The sequence below is a fragment of the Homo sapiens genome, chromosome 18, assembly GCF_000001405.40.
Source record: "Homo sapiens chromosome 18, GRCh38.p14 Primary Assembly".
NCBI lineage: Eukaryota > Metazoa > Chordata > Mammalia > Primates > Hominidae > Homo > Homo sapiens.
The window spans coordinates 49,213,008-49,234,873 of record NC_000018.10 but is presented as its reverse complement, the minus strand read 5'-3'; the positions used below and the strand labels follow the sequence as shown (position 1 = coordinate 49,234,873).

At 38.6% G+C, this 21,866-nt stretch overlaps 1 protein-coding gene across 40 annotated transcripts in view; it reads left to right on the top strand.

Annotated features, from left to right (window-relative positions):
• The window catches only part of DYM (dymeclin), a 424,259-nt gene that overhangs the window by 225,772 nt on the left and 176,621 nt on the right, over positions 1-21,866 (top strand). The window lies entirely within an intron of this gene.

Below are 21,866 nucleotides of genomic sequence, written 5' to 3'. Positions count from 1 at the left end.
TGCTTCTCATGCTTGAAATCCCTCTGACTTCTGCCACATGTCTCTGACTCCAGACAGATAAAGTTCTCTGCTTTTAAGGGATCATATGATTAGATTGTGCATATTTGGATAATCCAGGATAGTCTCCCGGTTTTAAGGACAATAATCTTAATTATGTCTGCAAATTACCTTTTGACCTGTAATGTAACATGTTCACAGGTTCCAGGCATTAGGGCATAGACATCTTTGAGCAGGGGAAATTCTGCCTATCACACAGTCCTCGGAGACTCACACTCTTTTCAGATGCACCATCCCCTAACCATCCCCTAGGGTTTCATCCTCCTTCTTAGGTCCAGGAAGCATCTTAGTTCAAGCCACAGGATAGGGGAGGAGGCAAACAATAAAAAGTGAAGTGAGACACTGGGTGACTTTTCTTTTTTTTGAGACAGGGTCTCTGTTACCCAGGCTGGAGTGTGGTGGCACAATCTTGGCTCACCGCAATCTCCCCTTCCCGGGCTCAAGCAATCCTCCCACCTCAGCTTCCCAAGTAGCCAGGACTACAGGCATACATCACCATGCCCAACTAATTTTTTTCTATTTTTTGTAGACACAGGGTTTTGCCATGTTGTCCAGGCTGTTCTCGAACTCCTGGACTCAAGCAATCCTCCTACCTCGACCTCCCAAAGTGTTGAGATTACAGGCATGAGCCACCATGCATGGCCAGCACTGAGTAACTCTTCAGTTTTGTTGTTGTTGTTGTTGTTTTGAGGTGGAGTCTTGCTCTGTTACCCAGGCTGGAGTGCAGTGGTGCGATCACGGCTCACTGCAAGCTCCGCCTCCCAGGTTCATGCCATTCTCCTGCCTCAGCCTCCCGAGTAGCTGGGACTACAGGCGCCCGCTACCATGCCCGGCTAATTTTTTGTATTTTTTTTAGTAGAGACGGGATTTCACCATGTTGGCCAGGATGGTCTCGATCTCTTGACCTCGTGATCCACCCGCCTCGGCCTCCCAAAGTGCTGGGATTACAGGTGTGAGCCACCGCGCCCGGCCAGCACTAACTCTTAATGAAGGTTCTCAGAAGCTGCCAGGAGACCTTCAATCTAGCAATCCAGAATTCACCATGGGATCATACTTAACAGCAGTGGAAGCTGAGAAATATAGTCTTTATTAATTGCAGCCATGTGCTCTACTAAAAAAAATCTGTTAGTGTAGAAGAAAGGGAGAAATGGATCATTGGGGAACAGTCAACAGCCTCTGCCCCACCAAGTGCATTTATCTAATCATTGGAAACCAGCAAACTGGAGGGAGTGATAGCACAACTACTACATTGTGGGAGTGGAGCAACAGCACCATCATAGGCAAGTTAGAGGGACATAGGGTTAGATTGAAGAGAAATCTGTCATGTAACTACATCTGAACACAAAGATTTTATACCTGAAAGAGCATCTAGAAGCTATTTCATCTGACTGAAAAAATGGATGCTTTTTTTTTCATCTGACTGTTCTGCGAAAGGTGTTTTTTTTCTTTTTTTTTTTTTTGATGGAATCTTGCCCTGTCACCCAGGATGGAGTGCAGTAGCTTGATCTCGGCTCACTGAAGCCTCTCCCTCCTGGGTTCCAGCAATTCTCCTGCCTCAGCCTCCCGGGTAGCTGGGATTACAGGTGCAACACCAAGTCCAGCTAATTTTAGTATTTTTAGTAGAGATGGGGTTTCACCATGTTGGCCAGGCTGGTCTCAACTCCTGACCTCAGGTGATCCACCCGCCTTGGCCTCCCAAAGTGCTGGGATTACAGGCGTGAGCCACTGCACTGGCCGAAAGGTACATTTTTAGATATTGTATTAAATCTCTGCTAGACACCCCCACAGTTTGTAACCAATCCATGTATTTTTGTATTATATGGATCTTTAATTCTTACAACATCTAAATACCTTATCTACTGAAAGGGAGTGTGAAAGTACACTTTAAGTATAAGAAATTCCGTTTCAGGCTGGGCATGGTGGTCACTCCCGTAATCCCAGCACTTTTGGGAGGCTGAGGTGGGCGGATCACCTGAGGTCAGGAGTTCAAGACCAACCTAGCCAACGTGGTGAAACCCGGTCTCTACTAAAAATGCCAAAATTAGCCAGGCGTGGTGGCGCGCATCTGTAATCCCAGCTACTTGAGAGGCTGAGGCAGGAGAATCGCTTGAACCCGGGACGCAGAGGTTGCAGTGAGCCGAGATCTCGCCACTGCACTCCATCCTGGGCGACAGAGCAAGTCTGTTTCCAAAAAAAAAAAAAAAAAAAAAAAAGAGGCCGGGCACAGTGGCTCACGCCTGTAATCCCAGCACTTTGGAGGCCGAGGCGAGCAGATCACGAGGTCAGGAGATTGAAACCATCCTGGCTAACACGGTGAAACCCCATCTCTACTAAAAATACAAAAAATTAGCCAGGTGTGGTGGTGGGTGCCTGTAGTCCTAGCTACTCGGGAGGCTGAGGCAGGAGAATGGCATGAACCCACGTGGATCTTGCAGTGAGCCGAGATCGCGCCACTGCACTCCAGCCTGGGTGACAGAGTGAGACCCCTTCTCAAAAAGAAAAAAAAAAAAGAAAAAATCAAAAAAGAAGAAATTCTGTTTCAATCAAGTAGAATTTCCGTATGGCCAGCTAATACAGAAAGTGATAAATTGTGCAAAGTATATGAATATGGAAAGTGGGGGGAGCAAATAGTTCCAAACTAGGATAAAGCAGAATACTTCATAACGTACCTGTCTTTCAAACAAGATCTTATCGGATGAATAGTATTTCAGTAGGTAAAAGGCAGGGGAACATGAAAATCACATGTGTAATTTAGAAACATCAACAGATGGCAAGAAAAAGAATTTTGGAAGGTATATATAACTGAATATTATTATAAAGGAATTACATGTTTTAAAATTTTTTATCTATGAATACTAAGTTTTCTTGTCTCCAACCTGTGTTCCTTTTCTTGCCTGCAGAAGTAAAATCAGATACAGACGTTGCAGTTTTAAGAGTCATGTTGATGTGACCCTCTTCAAGGCTAGTTAGTACTTACAGTTTGTATTTAGAGGAATCTTTGACTAAGATTCCTCTGGTGACTTTTTAGCTCCAGATGTGCTAGTACACTACGAAGCATTGTAACAGCTGTTTATTTCATTAGAGTTGGATCTAGACTGCCACTACCTCAGAGGAACCAGATACAAGTAGATCCACTCCACTTTATTTGACAAAGGAAACATGCTGATCCTAATAACCAAAAGGAATGTGGCAACTCGTTCATGTATTTCAGTATCTTTCACATAGGACAGTGTAACTGTGACCTGCATTTTCACTTGGGAAAGAGTCCTGGGAAAGACCTAAGAGAACTTAAGCTGTTCAGCAGTGGCTGCATACCTTTGGAGGCACCATCAGAGAGATGGATGGAAAATTGGGTAAAGGGAGGTCTACCCCCAAATCCAAGATTCTGTGATTCTGATACCTTTTACTTTAAAGCAATCATTTTCAGGTTCTGTGTTTTGTTCTCGTACTCTAGATCTCGTGCTTTCTTTGCTGGTGTCAACATGAGCAGCCACCAGCTGCTCTGGGATACCCACTCTACTCCTCCCAGAGCAGCTCCCCTCTGCTTTGATCTGTTTACACGTTGCCATTTCACATCAGCTTTCATTGGAAGAAAGGGTTCCATTGCTTTAAATATATGCATACATAAGCGCATACATATATGAATAAATAAGTTGAAAATTAGAAAACCCTTTTTAAAGGATGGAGTAATGAGGTTGATCTTAAGGTTCTTTGAACTTCTCAAAAGGCAGTGTAGTAGTCTAAGCTAATATATCTATCTAAAAGATGAATATTGTGCATTAGAAAAATAGTATTCTTTTAGTGACATTCATGAAGTCATTTTTTAAATAAATAATGGACCCATTTGATTATTTAAGCTCTATGTGCATTTTAAAGTATATTCATCGTGTAGAAATACTCTTTTTTGCCTTTTACTTATTTCTACATATAGGTTATTGAGTTTTTCTGCATGGTTCTGTATCTCTTTTGTTCTCTGCCCTCTGCAGAATTTTATCTGATAGTAGATAGAATGTGGATTCTTAAGGAGAAAATCTGTTTTATTAATTATAAGGCGTATGTCTCAGACTACCAAACCAAGTATACTGAGTGTTTTGAATTAAATATTTAGTGCTTCATTGACTATTTCCTCTGACTTCCATTAAGACCTTGAGAAATAACTCTTCTCTAATAAGCCTTTTGTTTGTTTGGGGCCAATATACAGATTGATGTGGAATGAACCATTGCTGTAGTATTTAGGGTGTGGTAAGCTTTTCTCAGGAACTTATCTCATTTCAGTATAGCTCATTTTTGGTAGGATATTAACAAGTCTCTGTCATGGCAGGAAACACTTGGTTTTGTTCCCAGATGTCTGATAGTAGTTCTTTTTTGAGGTAGTAAGATTTTTTTGGATGCTAGCATGGGAAAGACATGTGAAAAGTGTAGAGAGATTATAAGGGGCTTGATATCAAAGGTTTTTAAAGACAAATGGTCTGTGCTTGAACAGGACATTAGAATTGAGCTTAAAATCTATAACCTAATTTTCTTCTTCCCTTGAATACAGTTGGTATATTCGACCAGCATAGGCTACTGCTTCACCTTAGTGACTGTTGTTTTTAATTTGTTAGGACACTAAAAAATGTATTACATGTAGAAAATTTCCCTTTTAGTAAATAGTTCTTTGAGTTGACAAACACATATAGTCATGTATTTACCACCATAGTGAAGATAATATGTTCATCTCCCTAAAGATTCCGCTGTGCTGCTCTGTAGTCAAACCATTCTTACTACCCAAGCCCCCTTCTGTTATTTAGTTTTCCTTTGCCACTTTGTCATAAATCTTATCATATGGTATTTAGTCTTTTGAGACTGGAGATTTATCCATGTTCTTGTGTGTATCATTCGTTTTTATTACTGAGCAAGTATTTTATTCTATGGATACCACAGTTTATCCATTCACTGATTGAAGGACATTTGGATGTTTTCATTTTGGGGCAATTATGTATGAAGCTGCCATAAATATTTGTGTAGAGAATTTTGTGGGAACCTAACATTTTCATTTCTCTTGGGTAAATACCTAGGAGTAGAGTTTCTTGGGCATATGTAATTGTATGTTTAACTTTATAAGAAGGTGTCAAAGTATTTTCCAAAGTGGCCATACCATTTTGCATTCTTGCCAACAATATATGACAGTTCTAGTTGCTCCACATCTTCACCAGAAATTAGTGTTTGCTTTTTGTAAAAGCCATTTTAATAGTTCTGTGGTGCTCACTCATGGTTTTAATTTGCATTTCCCTAATGACAAATAATGTTGAGCATCTTTTCATGTGTTCTTTTGCCATCCATGTATCTTCTTTGGTGAAATGTCTATTTAGATCTTTATCCTTTTTAATATTGGGTTGTTTGGGTTTTTGAGTTTTGAGTGTTTGAGTTTTCTTTATATATTATTTTGGATACAAGTACTTTGCAAGTATGTTGTTTTGCAAACATTTATTTCTTCCAGGCTGTGGCTTGTTTTTTCTCAACATTTCAAATAATCTATAATTCCCATTTATCATTTTTCCCCTGATACTTGTTTATAGACCACAGTACTTTATTTTGTCCCTGTTCTTATACCTCTTATTGTTATAGATTTATTATTTTGTCTAATAGATTTATTATTTGTCAAGTAATTTGGAATTATTAGATTATTAGGTTAATAAATCTAAAATTAGTTTTATTATTTGTCAAATAATAAATAATATAGAATCATTTTATGTCTTGTTTTCGTGTTTAACTTTTAGTAAGTATGTGTATACTTTACATCTTCAACTAGATTATAAACTGATGAGTAACCATTGGTTAATTTTCTTAAAAATTATGTACAAAATAGAGATAAAGGGAACAGTTGAATAACTAATAACTGTTTATTCAGATGTGAGATAAATAAGAACCTGTGTCCTTTTCATCAGAATTTAGGTCTTCTTTGGACCCAGTTTTCACCTTCTAGGAATGGCCACCAAAAATGCACTTTAGCTTGTCTTCCTATCCACAGTAAACTTCCTCCCAACCCCCATCATGATCTCTTTCATTGCACCTCACCCATTTCCTATATCCAACAGTTACAACTTTTACCTGAAAAAGGATAGGTAGCCTTCATAAGGGACCCTAGTTCTAGAGGTTGGTAGAAGTATTGCGGATTTTGATTTAAAATAATCTGAAATAATTCATAGAATGAATAAAGTGATAACTATAAAGTCTTCAGAACTATTTCAGTTTGGCCAACTGTGAGATTAATCATGTTATTCTAGTTCTCTATTCTGCTGGAAGAAAATAGAAAGCTTTCCTTTTGGCTGGGGACCAGGGATGATTATAATGATTGAATTTTTCTCACTTCCGTCTGCAAAATGTCCAAATTGTGGGGTTTTCTTAAGATTTTAAGAAATGAGCAGTTAAGACCTTGGGAATTATTGTGTAAGTTCCTGTTGCCAGTGATTTATAGGCCTTTGCTTACTCCTAAGGAAGGAAGTAATTTTATGTTTATGGTTATGACTCTGAATCCCAGCCCAGCCTAAATTGTGCTTGTCAGTCTAATATAAAGGTAATGATGATGCATAGAACTCCCATACATAAGATGACTTGTGGATCATTGAATATGGAACATTAGTTTTTGTCCATTTACTCCAGTTAATAAATATGGTGGTTTCTTATGCCAAGCACTATAGTGGGTATAGAGAAACTAAAATAAAAACTCAACATCTGCCCTCAAAGATTCTATGATTATTGAGAGGGGAGATAGACAATAAAGCCATTTACAAATTCATTTTGTGAAGTTGCATGTTGGTAGGAAGCATAAGGCACAGTGGGAACCTAGAAGGGAGAGCACCAAAATGTGCATGTAGCAATCGGGGAGGGCCTCATAGAAGAGTCACACTTAGTGAAGAGTAGGAGTTTTCCAGAGGATACGGAGATTGAAGAAGTATCTCCAGATAGTCAGCAGCAGGTGCAAAGACCAGAGGCAAAAGACTGCATAGCTTGTCTTTTTTGCTTGGAGAAGATGCTGAGGTATATGCCTCAGTCACTATGGCAGTCAGGCTGATACTTCAATTAGAGTGGTTAGAACATTGGACTGGTGAGACCAAGATCAGTCTTTTCATCTCCACCCATCCACCTCAGCAAGCTTCAATTTCTGATGACTACATTCCTGTGACAGACAGCTCCCACAATCCTCACCTGCCAGCTCACAGATGTGGGTTTAGTGTGTATCACCACACCCTTCTGAGTACAAGGGTGAGAGACTGTGGATGTTTCCGTGTATATCCATGACCACAACTGAAAAATGACTCTGAGATGGTCTTCTGATAATGACTTAATGGCATAATTTCTGTGTATATATATGAAAACTTGTTCTTATTTTAATGACTCCAATAGACTTTAAACTCTTACCGTTATGTAGCATTTTATCTTGTGTGTATTTTTACTGCTCTGCTATAGAAAGGATATGACATAAATATTTAATCACTCTCAGCAGAATTGGCCTTATTTCATGGCTCCAGATTATCTAACTTCACTGATCTAATATTTGTGGCATGGATGTTGAAGAATCATAACTTAGAGCTCAGTTTTTTAGGAAGAATTTTATAATGGCTATAAATCGTTTTGCCAAGAGGCAGTTTGTACAAAATAATGACTTTAAAAATGAGCAAGCTTTTTGATGATCATAAAATGTGCTGAATGTGCTATTTTATACCTGTTTATTTGTGAACTCAATTTTTCCATTACATTCTTAGTGTTTATGCCTCAGATTATTCAGTGCAGACAGATGGGTGTGGACTGAAGAACAGTTTTGATTTTAGCATATAGTCATCATTCATGTCCCCCAAAGTCTAGATTTTTTTAAAACAAGTATCTTAATTTCTCTGGATGACATTAAAAGGTAAATTGTAATATTTTCAGGCTGAATTATATGTCTTTGATGGCTATTTTTGTAATGAGCATGTGCTTTAGGTCTTTTTTTCCTTTAGTCAACTGCATTCCCACTGGAACCAATTTGGCATCTGTGGGAGTCATAGTTTTAATGTGTGCTCTGTCCATCCACCATTTCCTTTGGTACAAAGAGGAACATAATGACATTGAAATGCTTCTTTCAAAATGTAAGTTGTAAACAAATCTAATCAATAAATTATTTTCAAGTAAATTTTGTTCTTATGAAATCTCCATTAGAGTTCCCTTCACCCTAACTCTATATTCATCACAAGAAAGTGCCAGAAGGAAATTTCAAATGAATGTCTGCATTTGTGGAGTTTTAGACCTTGCTTATTAGACCACAAGTAGAGTAGACAGCAACATGCTATTAACACATTGAAATACAACTTCAAGCCATATAGCAAACTGTGCATTGCTGGGAACCAAGCCAGCTTCACATTGCTGCATGGCCATATTGGGCATTTGCAGAGCAAATGTCTGTAGTGGAGAGCCATGACAACATTCTTTTTAAATAGTTGCTTTGTCCGAAGTCAGAAGACGTTTTTCATCCACATACCATGTAGGAAGGAATGCTGGTAATAAATTGATCTGTTTATCTACACCTGTAAATATAGATGGTACATCTGTAAAACAAGGGACAGTGGTATACTTAATGAGTTCCCTGTACATTTTCATCTGTTCAGTCTCGGAATTTTAGATACCTGGTGCATATGACTTACTGTTTACAAAACCTTTAAAAACTATTTTCAGGTGCCTTGTCCCCTTTGCTTTGGTGGTATATGATAATCTGTGCATTTACTTTGTTTTCTATGTGGAAGAGAATGAGATTCTGTAAACTGTGATCAAGTCTTCAAAGACAAGTTAAAGTTCTCAAAAATATTGTTGGAAATAAAATTTGTCCCTAAGAGATAATATGATTTTTCCTGTAGCTATTGCCAAATTTATATCTGAACCTAATAATATTTACAATATTTTAAAATCAGAAAGCAAGTAATTTGACAAAGATATTATAAAATTGCTATTTAAGATATTTGGCTGTTATTTATGTTTCTACAAATGTTCAGGTTTTAGATCTTTATTGATGCACTTATATACCAGAATGAGTGGCTAATTTAGGATGAAAGCACTTATTGGAAGGTTTTGAAATCAGCAGAGAATATGATTAAATCTCAAGTACCAGTGATGGTATACATTTTAATTGATTAAAAATTGTATTTTACTACAGATGTAGGAATTTCTTATTCTGAATTTCTTCGGCAATTAATAAAACAACTCACAGAAAAGATGCTAATATTGTTATGTTATATTGTAAAGAGGTTCATTATTATTATTATAGTCTCTATTATTTTATAAATCTGGCAGTGGGATGTTAGGTCATTTCATCCCCTTTGAGCTAGTACTAGATTGTTCCCTTCAATATATTTTCCAGTGTTTCAGCCAGTCTGTTAATCCTTCATACTAGAGATTCCCAGGATGTTCGTTGCTGGCAGTAGATTCAGCTCCAGGAAAAATGGCTTCTGCTGCCAAGGAATGAAATGATTCAAGGGTTGTGCTTGCACCACTGTTGTATAGTTTCCTGACATTCATTCCAGATTTTCCTTTGCTTATTTTCTTGGATATGTAAGTTTTATACTGTGTAAAATTGTGTGTGTGCACGCATGCTATTTTATAAATTTTTAGTTTGCAAAAATTTCCCCTGGAAACTTAATGCATATTTAATGCATGTGAATGAGCTAATCAATGGGATTAACGATATCTCAGGAAGTCTTACATTCAGATTATGTTTTAATCAATGGTATTTTTAATGTTACTAATGAAAAGAATTGTTGGTCACCAGTGACCTCCATATTGCCAAATCCAGTGGACATTTTCTGTCTCGTTTGTCCTTTCAGTTGTATTTGACACTGGTAACCACTCCTTCATCAAGATAACCTCTTCTTGGTTTCCTCATCTTCTTTATGGTTTTTTTGGCCACTCTTCAAAATTCTGTAAAAGTTTATCTAGATTTGAAGTGATCTTGTGATACTTTAAATGTTGGCATTTCTCAAAGTCACCCTGTCTTAGTTCGGGTTGCTATAACAAAATAGCATATACTGGGTAGCTTATAAACAACAGACATTTACTTCCCACAGATCTGGAATCTGGGAAGTCCTAGATCAAGGCGCCGACTGATTTGGTGTCTAGTGAGGACCTGCTTACTGACCCAAAGAGGGCAGTTTTTTCTCTTGTCTTCCCATGGTGGAGAGTGGAAGCAAGCTCTCTCGGACTCTTGTAAGGACACTAATCCCATACATGAAGGCTGTACCCTCATGACCTCACCTAATCCTAATGCCTTCCCGAAGACCCCACCTCCTAATACCATCACCTTGGGGGCTAGGATTTCAACATATACATTTGTGGGGGACACAAACATTCAGACTGTAGCAACCCCTTCTCTTTTCTCTCTCTACTCTTTTCCTAGGTGATTGTAGCCACTCCCATCCTTACACCGATGACTCACAAACATACATTTAGCTAGCCCTATCCTCTGGCTTCAGACCTGCATGTCCAATCAGATGACTAATGTCATCTTTTGGGTTTATCAGAGACATCTCAAACTCAGCATGTCGAAAATGGAAATCTTGCCCTTTCCCAGAGTCTTTTGATCCTCTTCCTCTGTTGCCGCCTCATTGAATGACACCACCATTTATGCATGCCAGAAACCTGAGAGTCAATTTTGACACTCCCTGTCACCTGCCATATTCAATTCATTACCAAGTCTTGTCAGCAACCACCCCTCAAATCCATTCATTCTCCTTTATCATCGCCTTAGTGCCTACTCTCCTGCAGTAACTCTTTAACAGGTCTGATGTCAACTCTTGCTTCATCAGTCTCCAACCAGCCAATCATTTCAAAATGCAGATCTCATCCTGTGACTCCTCTGCTATATACTCTTCAGATACTTCCCATTGTTCCTAGAATGAAGGCATAATTCCTTGGTGATTTTACCTACCTCTGTTCTTCCCCAAGGTCAGCTCCTTACACATTGTCCTTTACTTTTGCATAGGAGACATGTTTCCTTCCAGTCTCAGTCCTATGTCTGCCTTTTTCCTTTGCTTGTAATTATTTTCCTGCTTATCTTTAGTCATCTTGCAGATCTTGGCTGAATCGTTACTTTTATGAGGAAACTTTCCCTTACCTATCTATTCAGGCAAAATCTCATCTATTTCAAGTTTCATCTGTAGTACTTTGTTACTCATTTACATCAATTTGATTATTTAGTTTGTCCACTCAAGAATATTAACAACACTTCCCTTAATATTAGCTGATTCAAAACCCATATTCACATTATGCCTGATTATCTTTGAAAAAAATATGTTTATTTTGATTAGTTCAAATCAGGATTCATACAGGATCCCACACCACATTTGATTAGTCATGTGTCTTAGTTTTTTTCAGTCGAGCAGAGGCAGGTTTTTGTAAATGAAGTTTTGTTAGAACACAGCCATGCCCATTTGTGTGCATCCTATGGCTGCTTTCTCACATCAGTTGCAGAGTTAAGTGATTTTAAGTGAGACAACACAGACTGCAACTATTTGCTACCCGACCTAAGTTTAAGAAAAAAGTTGTGCAGTACCCCTTGCTTGCTTTTCTTTTTTAACTATTCAACTCACATCTTTGACTAGTTGGTCAACAGGTAAGCAGTCTTACAGAATATCTCACATTTCAGATTTGTTTGTTTGCATCTTCCTGTGTCCTTCAATTTGTTCCCTCTCATCAATTTCTATTGTAAACTGAAAATTAACTCTAGATGATAGATCATTTAGATGGAATTTTTTGGCAAAAATACTTAATACGTGTTCCTGTTTATTTCATATTCTATCATATCAGGAGATACATAATGTCTAGTTATCCTGGAGATACTAAGATTGATTGGTAGGTTCAGATGGTGATAGCTAATCCTTTCATTCTAAATGTCACCATCATTCTTTCATGTGACTTTCATTTGACTAAACGGTTTTATTATATATTGCCAAACGGCAAATTTCTAGTTACCATATTATGTGCATATTTGTGACATAGAGTTTTTCTGTAAAGAAGAATTTTCCTTTATCCACTGTGTAATCATAGTTGGAAAGAGGGGAGTAATGCTTAACTTCTTCCTTTTAATATTTAATTTTCAAAACTAGAGTTTCATGCCTTTGGTACCTCTAGTAGTAATTGATACATTTTCATTTTTTGTTTATTTATTTTATTATGAACCTCTGTTCATATTGTCCATATAGATTGTATGTTTTTGATCAGTCGCAGAGCAGTTATTCTTTTTGGTTTCTGATTGTTTCATTTTTGGCCATTGGGAGATCCCTTATGTTGCCTCTTATGTCTTTTTGACAGGACTGCATTTATCTTTGACAGTTTCCTTGCTTCCTTCCTTGCTTTTAGGCCAACAAGATGTCTCAAACTCATTTGTATTAAATACATTTCTTGTCTCGGACCTAGAAGCCACAACGTTGTTGGTAGGTGATAGGATGCTCATTATTGAGGAGTCTGTAATTTTTTTTAGGTCTCTTCAATGGACAAAGCTGAAAAGATATAAATTCTTGTAAAGAAAAAAGATTATACTCTTAGTTCTAATTCAAATTTTAGATTATTTAACAGAAATTCTGATTTGCTTTTTTGAATAACATAAATATAATGTTTTTCTCTTTATTCTGTTCCGTGTATGTGTATATAGTTGTTTCACAATATTATAACTAATTTTAAGTAAGTGAATGAAGTTTAGGATTTTTTTGTGTGTGTTTCTATTTGTCCTTAGAATATAACCCACTGAGTATATAATGTCATTTCTACATTTTAAAGTTATTCAAAATAATACTTTGTCTAGTTTCTTTTTTCTTTCTTTTTTTTTTATAAAATAACAGTACTTTTATCCAAATGACCAAATAAAGGTTGCTGCCTGATTCTCAATTTTTTTTTAAATTTTATTATTATTACAGTTTAAGTTTTAGGGTACATGTGCACAATGTGCAGCTTAGTTACATATGTATACATGTGCCATGCTGGTGTGCTCCACCCATTAACTCGTCATTTAGCATTAGGTATATCTCCTAATGCTATCCCTCCCTCCTTCCCCCACCCCACAACAGTCCCCAGAGTGTGATGTTCCCCTTCCTGTGTCCATGTGTTCTCATTGTTCAATTCCCACCTATGAGTGAGAACATGCGGTGTTTGGTTTTTTGTCCTTGTGATAGTTTACTGAGAATGATGATTTCCAGTTTCATCCGTGTCCCTACAAAGGACATGAACTCATCATCTTTTATGGCTGCATAGTATTCCATGGTGTATATGTGCCACATTTTCTTAATCCAGTCTATCATTGTTGGACATTTGGCTTGGTTCCAAGTCTTTGCTATTGTGAATAGTGCTGCAATAAACATACGTGTGCATGTGTCTTTATAGCAGCATGATTTATAATCCTTTGGGTATATACCCAGTAATGTGATGACTGGGTCAAATGGTATTTCTAGTTCTAGATCCCTGAGGAATCGCCACACCGACTTCCACAATGGTTGAACTAGTTTACACTCCCACCAACAGTGTAAAAGTGTTCCTATTTCTCCACATCCTCTCCAGCACCTGTTGTTTCCTGACTTTTGAATGATTGCCATTCTAACTGGTGTGAGATGGTATCTCATTGTGGTTTTGATTTGCATTTCTCTGATGGCCAGTGATGGTGAGCATTTTTTCATGTGTTTTTTGGCTGCATAAATGTCTTCTTTTGAGAAGTGTCTGTTCATGTTCTTCACCCACTTTTTGATGGGGTTGTTTGTTTTTTTCTTGTAAATTTGTTTGAGTTCTTTGTAGATTCCGGATATTAGCCCTTTGTCAGATGAGTAGGTTGCGAAAATTTTCTCCCATTCTCTAGGTTGCCTGTTCACTCTGATGGTAGTTTCTTTTGCTGTGCAGAAGCTCTTTAGTTGAATTAGATCCCATTTGTCAACTTTGGCTTTTGTTGCCATTGCTTTTGGTGTTTTAGACATGAAGTCCTTGCCCATGCCTATGTCCTGAATGGTATTGCCTAGGTTTTCTTCTAGGGTTTTTATGGTTTTAGGTCAAACGTTTAAGTCTTTAATCCATCTTGAATTAATTTTTGTATAAGATGTAAGGAAGAGATCCAGTTTCAGCTTTCTCCATATGGCTAGCCAGTTTTCCCAGCACCATTTATTAAATAGGGAATCCTTTCCCCATTGATTGTTTTTCTCAGGTTTGTCAACGATCAGATAGTTGTAGATATGCGGCATTATTTCTGAGGGCTCTGTTCTGTTCCATTGATCTATATCTCTGTTTTGGTACCAGTACCATGCTGTTTTGGTTACTGTAGCCTTGTAGTATAGTTTGAAGTCAGGTAGCGTGATGCCTCCAGCTTTGTTCTTTTGGCTTAGGATTGACTTGGCAATGTGGGCTCTTTTTTGGTTCCATATGAACTTTAAAGTAGTTTTTTCCAATTCTGTGAAGAAAGTCATTGGTAGCTTGATGGGGATGGCATTGAATCTGTAAATTACCTTGGGCAGTATGGCCATTTTCACGATATTGATTCTTCCTACCCATGAGCATGGAATGTTCTTCCATTTGTTTGTATCCTCTTTTATTTCATTGAGCAGTGGTTTGTAGTTCTCCTTGAAGAGGTCCTTCATGTCCCTTGTAAGTTGGATTCCTAGATATTTTATTCTCTTTGAAGCAATTGTGAATGGGAGTTCACTCATGATTTGGCTCTCTGTTTGTCTGTTATTGGTGTATAAGAAAGCTTGTGATTTTTGTACATTGATTTTGTATCCTGGGACTTTGCTGAAGTTGCTTATCAGCTTAAGGAGATTTTGGGCTGAGACAATGGGGTTTTCTAGATATACAATCATGTCATCTGCAAACAGGGACAATTTGACTTCCTCTTTTTCTAATTGAATACCCTTTATTTCCTTCTGCCTAATTGCCCTGGCCAGAACTTCCAACACTATGTTGAATAGGAGTGGTGAGAGAGGGCATCCCTGTCTTGTGGCAGTTTTCAAAGGAAATGCTTCCAGTTTTTGCCCATTCAGTATGATATTGGCTGTGGGTTTGTCATAGATAGCTCTTATTATTTTGAGATACGTCCCATCAATACCTAATTTATTGAGAGTTTTTAGCATGAAGTGTTGTTAAATTTTGTCAAAGGCCTTTTCTGCATCTATTGAGATAATCATGTGGTTTTTGTCTTTGGCTCTGTTTATATGCTGGATTACATTTATTGATTTGCATATATTGAACCAGCCTTGCATCCTAGGGATGAAGCCCACTTGATCATGGTGGATAAGCTTTTTGATGTGCTGCTGGATTCAGTTTGCCAGTATTTTATTGAGGATTTTTGCATCAATGTTCATCAAGGATATTGGTCTAAAATTCTCTTTTTTGGTTGTGTCTCTGCCAGGCTTTGGTATCAGGATGATGCTGGCCTCATAAAATGAGTTAGGGAGGGTTCCCTCTTTTTCTATTGATTGGAATAGTTTCTGAAGGAATGGTACCAGTTCCTCCTTGTACCTCTGGTAGAATTTGGCTGTGAATCCATCTGGTCCTGGACTCTTTTTGGTTGGTAAGCTATTGATTATTGCCACAATTTCAGATCCTGTTATTGGTCTATTCAGAGATTCAGCTTCTTCCTGGTTTAGTCTTGGGAGGGTGTATGTGTCGAGGAATTTATCCATTTCTTCTAGATTTTCTAGTTTATTTGCGTAGAGGTGTTTGTAGTATTCTCTGATGGTAGTTTGTATTTCTGTGGGATCGGTGGTGATGTTCCCTTTATCATTTTTTATTGCATCTATTTGATTCTTCTCTGTTTTCGTCTTTATTAGTCTTGCTAGCGGTCTATCAATTTTGTTGATCCTTTCAAAAAACCAGCTCCTGAATTCATTAATTTTTTGAAGGGTTTTTTGTGTCTCTATTTCCTTCAGTTCTGCTCTGATTTTAGTTATTTCTTGCCTTCTGCTAGCTTTTGAATGTGTTTGCTCTTGCTTCTCTAGTTCTTTTAATTGTGATGTTAGGGTGTCAATTTTGGATCTGTCCTGCTTTCTCTTGTGGGCATTTAGTGCTATAAATTTCCCTCTACACACTGCTTTGAATGTGTCCCAGAGATTCTGGTATGTTGTGTCTTTGTTCTCATTGGTTTCAAAGAACATCTTTTTTTCTGCCTTCATTTCATTATATACCCAGTAGTCATTCAGGAGCAGGTTGTTCAGTTTCCATGTAGTTGAGTGGTTTTGAGTGAGTTTCTTAATCCTGAGTTCTAGTTTCATTGCACTGTGGTCTGAGAGACAGTTTGTTATAATTTCTGTTCTTTTACATTTGCTGAGGAGAGCTCTACTTCCAACTATGTGGTCAATTTTGGAATAGGTGTGGTGTGGTGCTGAAAAAAATGTATATTCTGTTGATTTGGGGTGCAGAGTTCTGTAGATGTCTATTAGGTCCGCTTGGTGCAGAGCTGAGTTCAATTCCTGGATATCCTTGTTAACTTTCTGTTTCGTTGATCTGTCTAATGTTGACAGTGGGGTGTTAAAGTCTCCCATTATTATTGTGTGGGAGTCTAAGTCTCTTTGTAGGTCCCTCAGGACTTGCTTTATGAATCTGGGTGCTCCTGTATTGGGTGCATATATATTTAGGATAGTTAGCTCTTCTTGTTGAATTGATCCCTTTACCATTATGTAATGGCCTTCTTTCTCTCTTTTGACCTTTGTTGGTTTAAAGTCTGTTTTATCAGACACTAGGATTGCAACCCCTGCCTTTTTTTGTTTTCCATTTGCTTGGTAGATCTTCCTCCATCCTTTTATTTTGAGCCTATTTGTGTCTCTGCACGTGAGATGGGTTTCCTGAATACAGCACACTGATGGGTCTTGACCGTTTATCCAATTTGCCAGTCTGTGTCTTTTAATTGGAGCATTTAGTCCATTTACATTTAAAGTTAATATTGTTATGTGTGAATTTGATCCTGTGGTTATGATGTTAGCTGGTTATCTTGCTCGTTAGTTGATGCAGGTTCTTCCCAGCCTCGACGGTCTTTACAATTTGGCATGTTTTTGCAGTGGGTGGTACGGTTTGTTCCTTTCCATGTTTAGTGCTTCCTTCAGGAGCTCTTTTAGGGCAGGCCTGGTGGTGAGAAAATCTCTCAGCATTTGCTTGTCTGTAAAGGATTTTATTTCTCCTTCACTTATGAAGCTTAGTTTGGCTGGATATGAAATTCTGGGTTGAAAATTCTTTTCTTTAAGAATGTTGACTATTGTCCCCCACTCTCTTCTGGCTTGTGGAGTTTCTGCCGAGAGATCCGCTGTTAGTCTGATGGGCTTCCCTTTGTGGGTAACCCGGCCTTTCTCTCTGGCTGCCCTTAACATTTTTTCCTTCATTTCAACTTTGGTGAATCTGACAATTATGTGTCTTGGAGTTGCTCTTCTCGAGGAGTATCTTTGTGGCGTTCTCTGTATTTCCTGAATCTGAACGTTGGCCTGCCTTGCTAGATTGGGGAAGTTCTCCTGGATAATATCCTGCAGAGTGTTTTCCAACTTGGTTCCATCCTCCCCGTCACTTTCAGGTACACCAATCAGACGTAGATTTGGTCTTTTCACATAGTCCCATATTTCTTGAAGGCTTTGTTCGTTTCTTTTTATTCTTTTTTCTCTAAACTTCCCTTCTCACTTCATTTCATTCATTTCATCTTGCATCACTGATACCCTTTCTTCCAGTTGATCGCATTGGCTCCTGAGGCTTCTGCATTCTTCATGTAGTTCTCGATCCTTGGCTTTCAGCTCCATCAGCTCCTTTAAGCACTTCTCTCTATTGATTATTCTAGTTATACATTCGTCTAAATTTTTTTCGAAGTATTTAACTTCTTTGCCTTCGGTTTGAATTTCCTCCTGTAGCTCGGAGTACTTTGATTGTCTGAAGTCTTCTTCTCTCCACTCGTCAAAGTCATTCTCCGTCCAGCTTTGTTCCATTGCTGGTGAGGAACTGCGTTCCTTTGGAGGAGGAGAGGCACTCTGCTTTTTAGAGTTTCCAGTTTTTTTGCTCTGTTTTTTCCCCATCTTTGTGGTTTTATCTACTTTTGGTCTTTGATGATGGTGATGTACAGATGGGTTTTTGGTGTGGATGTCCTTTCTGTTTGTTAGTTTTCCTTCTAACAGACAGGACCCTCAGCTGCAGGTCTGTTGGAGTTTGCTAGAGGTCCACTCCAGACCCTGTTTGCCTGGGTATCAGCAGCGGTAGCTTCAGAACTGCGGATTTTCATGAACCACGAATGCTGCTGTCTGATCGTTCCTCTGGAAGTTTTGTCTGAAAGGAGTACCCGGCCGTGTGAGATGTCAGTCTGCCCCTACTGGGGGGTGCCTCCCAGTTAGGCTGCTCGGGGGTCAGGGGTCAGGGACCCACTTAAGGAAGCAGTCTGCCCATTCTCAGATCTCCAGCTGTGTGCTTGGAGAACCACTACTCTCTTCAAAGCTGTCAAACAGGGACATTTAAGTCTGCAGAGGTTACTGCTGTCTTTTTGTTTGTCTGTGCCTTGCCCCCAGAGGTGGAGCCTACAAAGGCAGGCAGGCCTCCTTGAGTTGTGGTGGGCTCTACCCAGTTCGAGCTTCCCGGCTGCTTTATTTACCTAAGAAAGCCTGGGCAATGGCGGGCGCCCCTCCCCCAGCCTCGCTGCCACCTTGCAGTTTGATCTCAGACTGCTGTGCTAGCAGTCAGTGAGACTCCGTGGGTGTAGGACCCTCCGAGCCAGGTGCGGGATATAATCTCGTGGTGCACCGTTTTTTAAGCCCATCGGAAAAGCGCAGTATTAGGGTGAGATTGACCCGATTTTCCAGGTGCCATCTGTCACCCCTTTCTTTGACTAGGAAAGGGAACTCCCTGACCCCTTGCGCTTCCCGAGTGAGGCAATGCCTCGCCCTGCTTCGGCTCCCGCACGGTGCGCTGCACCCACTGTCCTGCACCCACTGTCTGGCACTCCCTAGTGAGATGAACCCAGTACCTCAGATGGAAATGCAGAAATCACCCGTCTTCTGCATTGCTTACTCTGGGAGCTGTAGACCGGAGCTGTTCCTATTCGGCCATCTTGGCTGCCAGCTTCTTTGTGTAGTTTCATTACCACTTGAGATGCAATTAAATTTGTTTTAGTTTTCAGTTTGAGGGAATTTGTTTTTCTTTTTAGTTCAACTTTAGTTTTTGAGTATGTATAATTTTAAGCAGCATTAATAGAGTATAATCTTTTCAACACTGCCCAAAACATGACACATCTAGAATAATCTGTTTACTTCTTTTTGCCATATTTTAGGAATGGCCAGCCCAGTATCAAGGGTGGGATGATACGAGTGGTTTATCCTGGATCTGGATGGCAATAAGGGGATATATTGTCTATGTCTGTAAAGAATTTCAAAACTATAATAAAACTAACAAGATTTTGTCTGGGTTTTTATTCTCACCATGCACCAGCAATTCTCAATACTACCAGTGAGAAAGTACTTCTCCCTCCACTGAGTGTGTTGCTAAGAAGCTTATTAAGCAGTTTGAGTATCCAAAGGAGAGTAATAAGACTGACGAGGAATCTGAAAACCATAGCCCATGAGAGATGAACAGATTTTAATATCAATCAGAGAAGAAAAGATGAAGAAATTCACAATTTCCTCATCTATTTAAAGACTGTAGTGTAAGGAAATAAGTTAGACTTTGTGTACTGAATTCCATGTTTCATTACTGGGTAGAAGTTACAGAACAAATGGATTTAGCTTATTATAAGGAGAAGTTTTCTAATTGTTAGAATTTACATATCTGTGGAATGAGGCTATTTGTCAAACTAGAGAGTTCTTTTTCCCTTAAAGATGTATAGTAAGAGCAGTGCGAACATCTCACAAGGGATGTTAGATATTCTTCTGTGGATAGATCTTGCACATGATGACCTCCTGGGCTCTCCCAGCCCTGTGATTCTGAGATCACAGTGCCCATTTCAGGAATCCTCACTGTCTAGACCCATCCACTAAAATGAATCATCATCTTATTCACATCTAAGCCCCATTACAAGTTTATTAGTATCATCCCTTTCAGTGGAAATGCGAAATATTTTATTCAGTTATGCTAATGTAATTAGCTCATAATGTCAAATGCTTGAGAAGTTGAGGTTGTAGTTCTGCTGGGTATTTGTTTCTCATGTCAAATATCATACCATCAGTGAAATTGTTCATAACCACCAAAATTAACAATTAGCCCCTTCAGCCCCTCTTCCACCTTTATCATATTTATTTGCTTAACAAATTTATCTTTTTTTTTTTTTTTACTCATTGATTCTGAATCTCCCTCTATTTAAATGTATATTCTGTGACAGCAGTCCTCAACCTTTGTTGCACCAAGGACCAGTTTTGTGGAAGTCAGTTTTTCCACGGACAGGGGCAGAACAGGGGATGGTTTTGGGATGAAACCGTTCCACTTCAGATCAGATCATCAGGCATTAGATTCTCATGAGGAGCATACAACCTCAATTCCTCGCATGTGCAGTTCATAATAGGGTTCGTCTTCCTATGAGAATCTAATGCCACCACTGATCTGACAGGAGGCGGAGCTCAGGTGGTAATGCAAGCAGTGGGGAGTGGCTCTGAATACAGATGAAGCTTTGCTCATTCAACTGCCACTCACCTACTGCTATGTAGCCCAGTTCCTAACAGGCTTCAGAATGGGGGATGGGAACCCTGGTTCTATGAGAGCAGAATCCATGTATCTTTTTGTACCACTGAATCCCAAGCATTTCGTGTTGGTACATTTTTCTGTAAGGGAATCCGTGTCTTTTGTTGGCTTTTAAAATGGCCACCTAAAAAAATTTAGGAACTACTATAAGAGTAATGTTGTCAAAATCAAATACCACTGTTGAGATTTTGAATCTGTGAAGGATAATTGCATTCTTAATATTTTGTCTTCCCTTCCAAAATCATGCTAGTTAGTATTTCTTCATTTATTCAAGATTTCTTTTATGCCAAATAGTAAATTTTGGTAATTTTCTTTATATAGGCCATAAACATGTATTATTAATTTAATTTCTTGGTATTTTTTAATCTACTAATGGGTCTACTAATGAGCTTTCTCAAAGGAAGGAGAGGAGGGAAGAAGAAGGGACATTGGAAAAGGATATACAGAATATTTTTATCAGTCTAGGTAAAGGTTAACTTGCCTCTGGTAATCTCATTTTTTTAAGTTCTTTAAGCATATAGATAATTAAGAAAATAAATTGGCTAGGCACTGTGGCTCGTGCCTGTAATCCCATCACTTTGGGAGGCTGAAGTGGGTGGATTGCCTGAGGTCAGGATTTCAAGACCAGCTTGACCAATATGGGGAAACCCCATCTCTACTAAAAATACAAAAGTTAGCTGGGCATGGTGGCATGCGCCTGTAGTCCCAGCTATTCAGGAGGCTGAGACAGGAGAATTGCTTGAACCCGGTAGAATTGCTTGAACCCGGGAGGCGGAGGTTGCAGTGAGCCGAGATCATGCCATTGCACTCCAGTCTAGGCAACAGGGCAAAACTCCATCTCCAAAAAAAAAAAAAAAAAGTTAGAAAAAGTTCCTATGGAAATGTGTTATAATTTTATTATTAAAGTACTGAAAAATACATTATTAGAAAACTTCACCTTGGAATCTTTTTTAAGCATTACTCTTTTGCTTGTGGTTTTTGTCATCTTTTACAGACTTGAATGTTGTTCTAGGACAGAATATTGTTGTACTTTATTTTAGTGAAGCATAACCATATCAAATAACATTTCAGAACTATACATTGCACAATCTTGGACATTTTCTTGTAAGAAGGCACTAAGGAAATTTTATTTTTGTGAAAGTAATTCT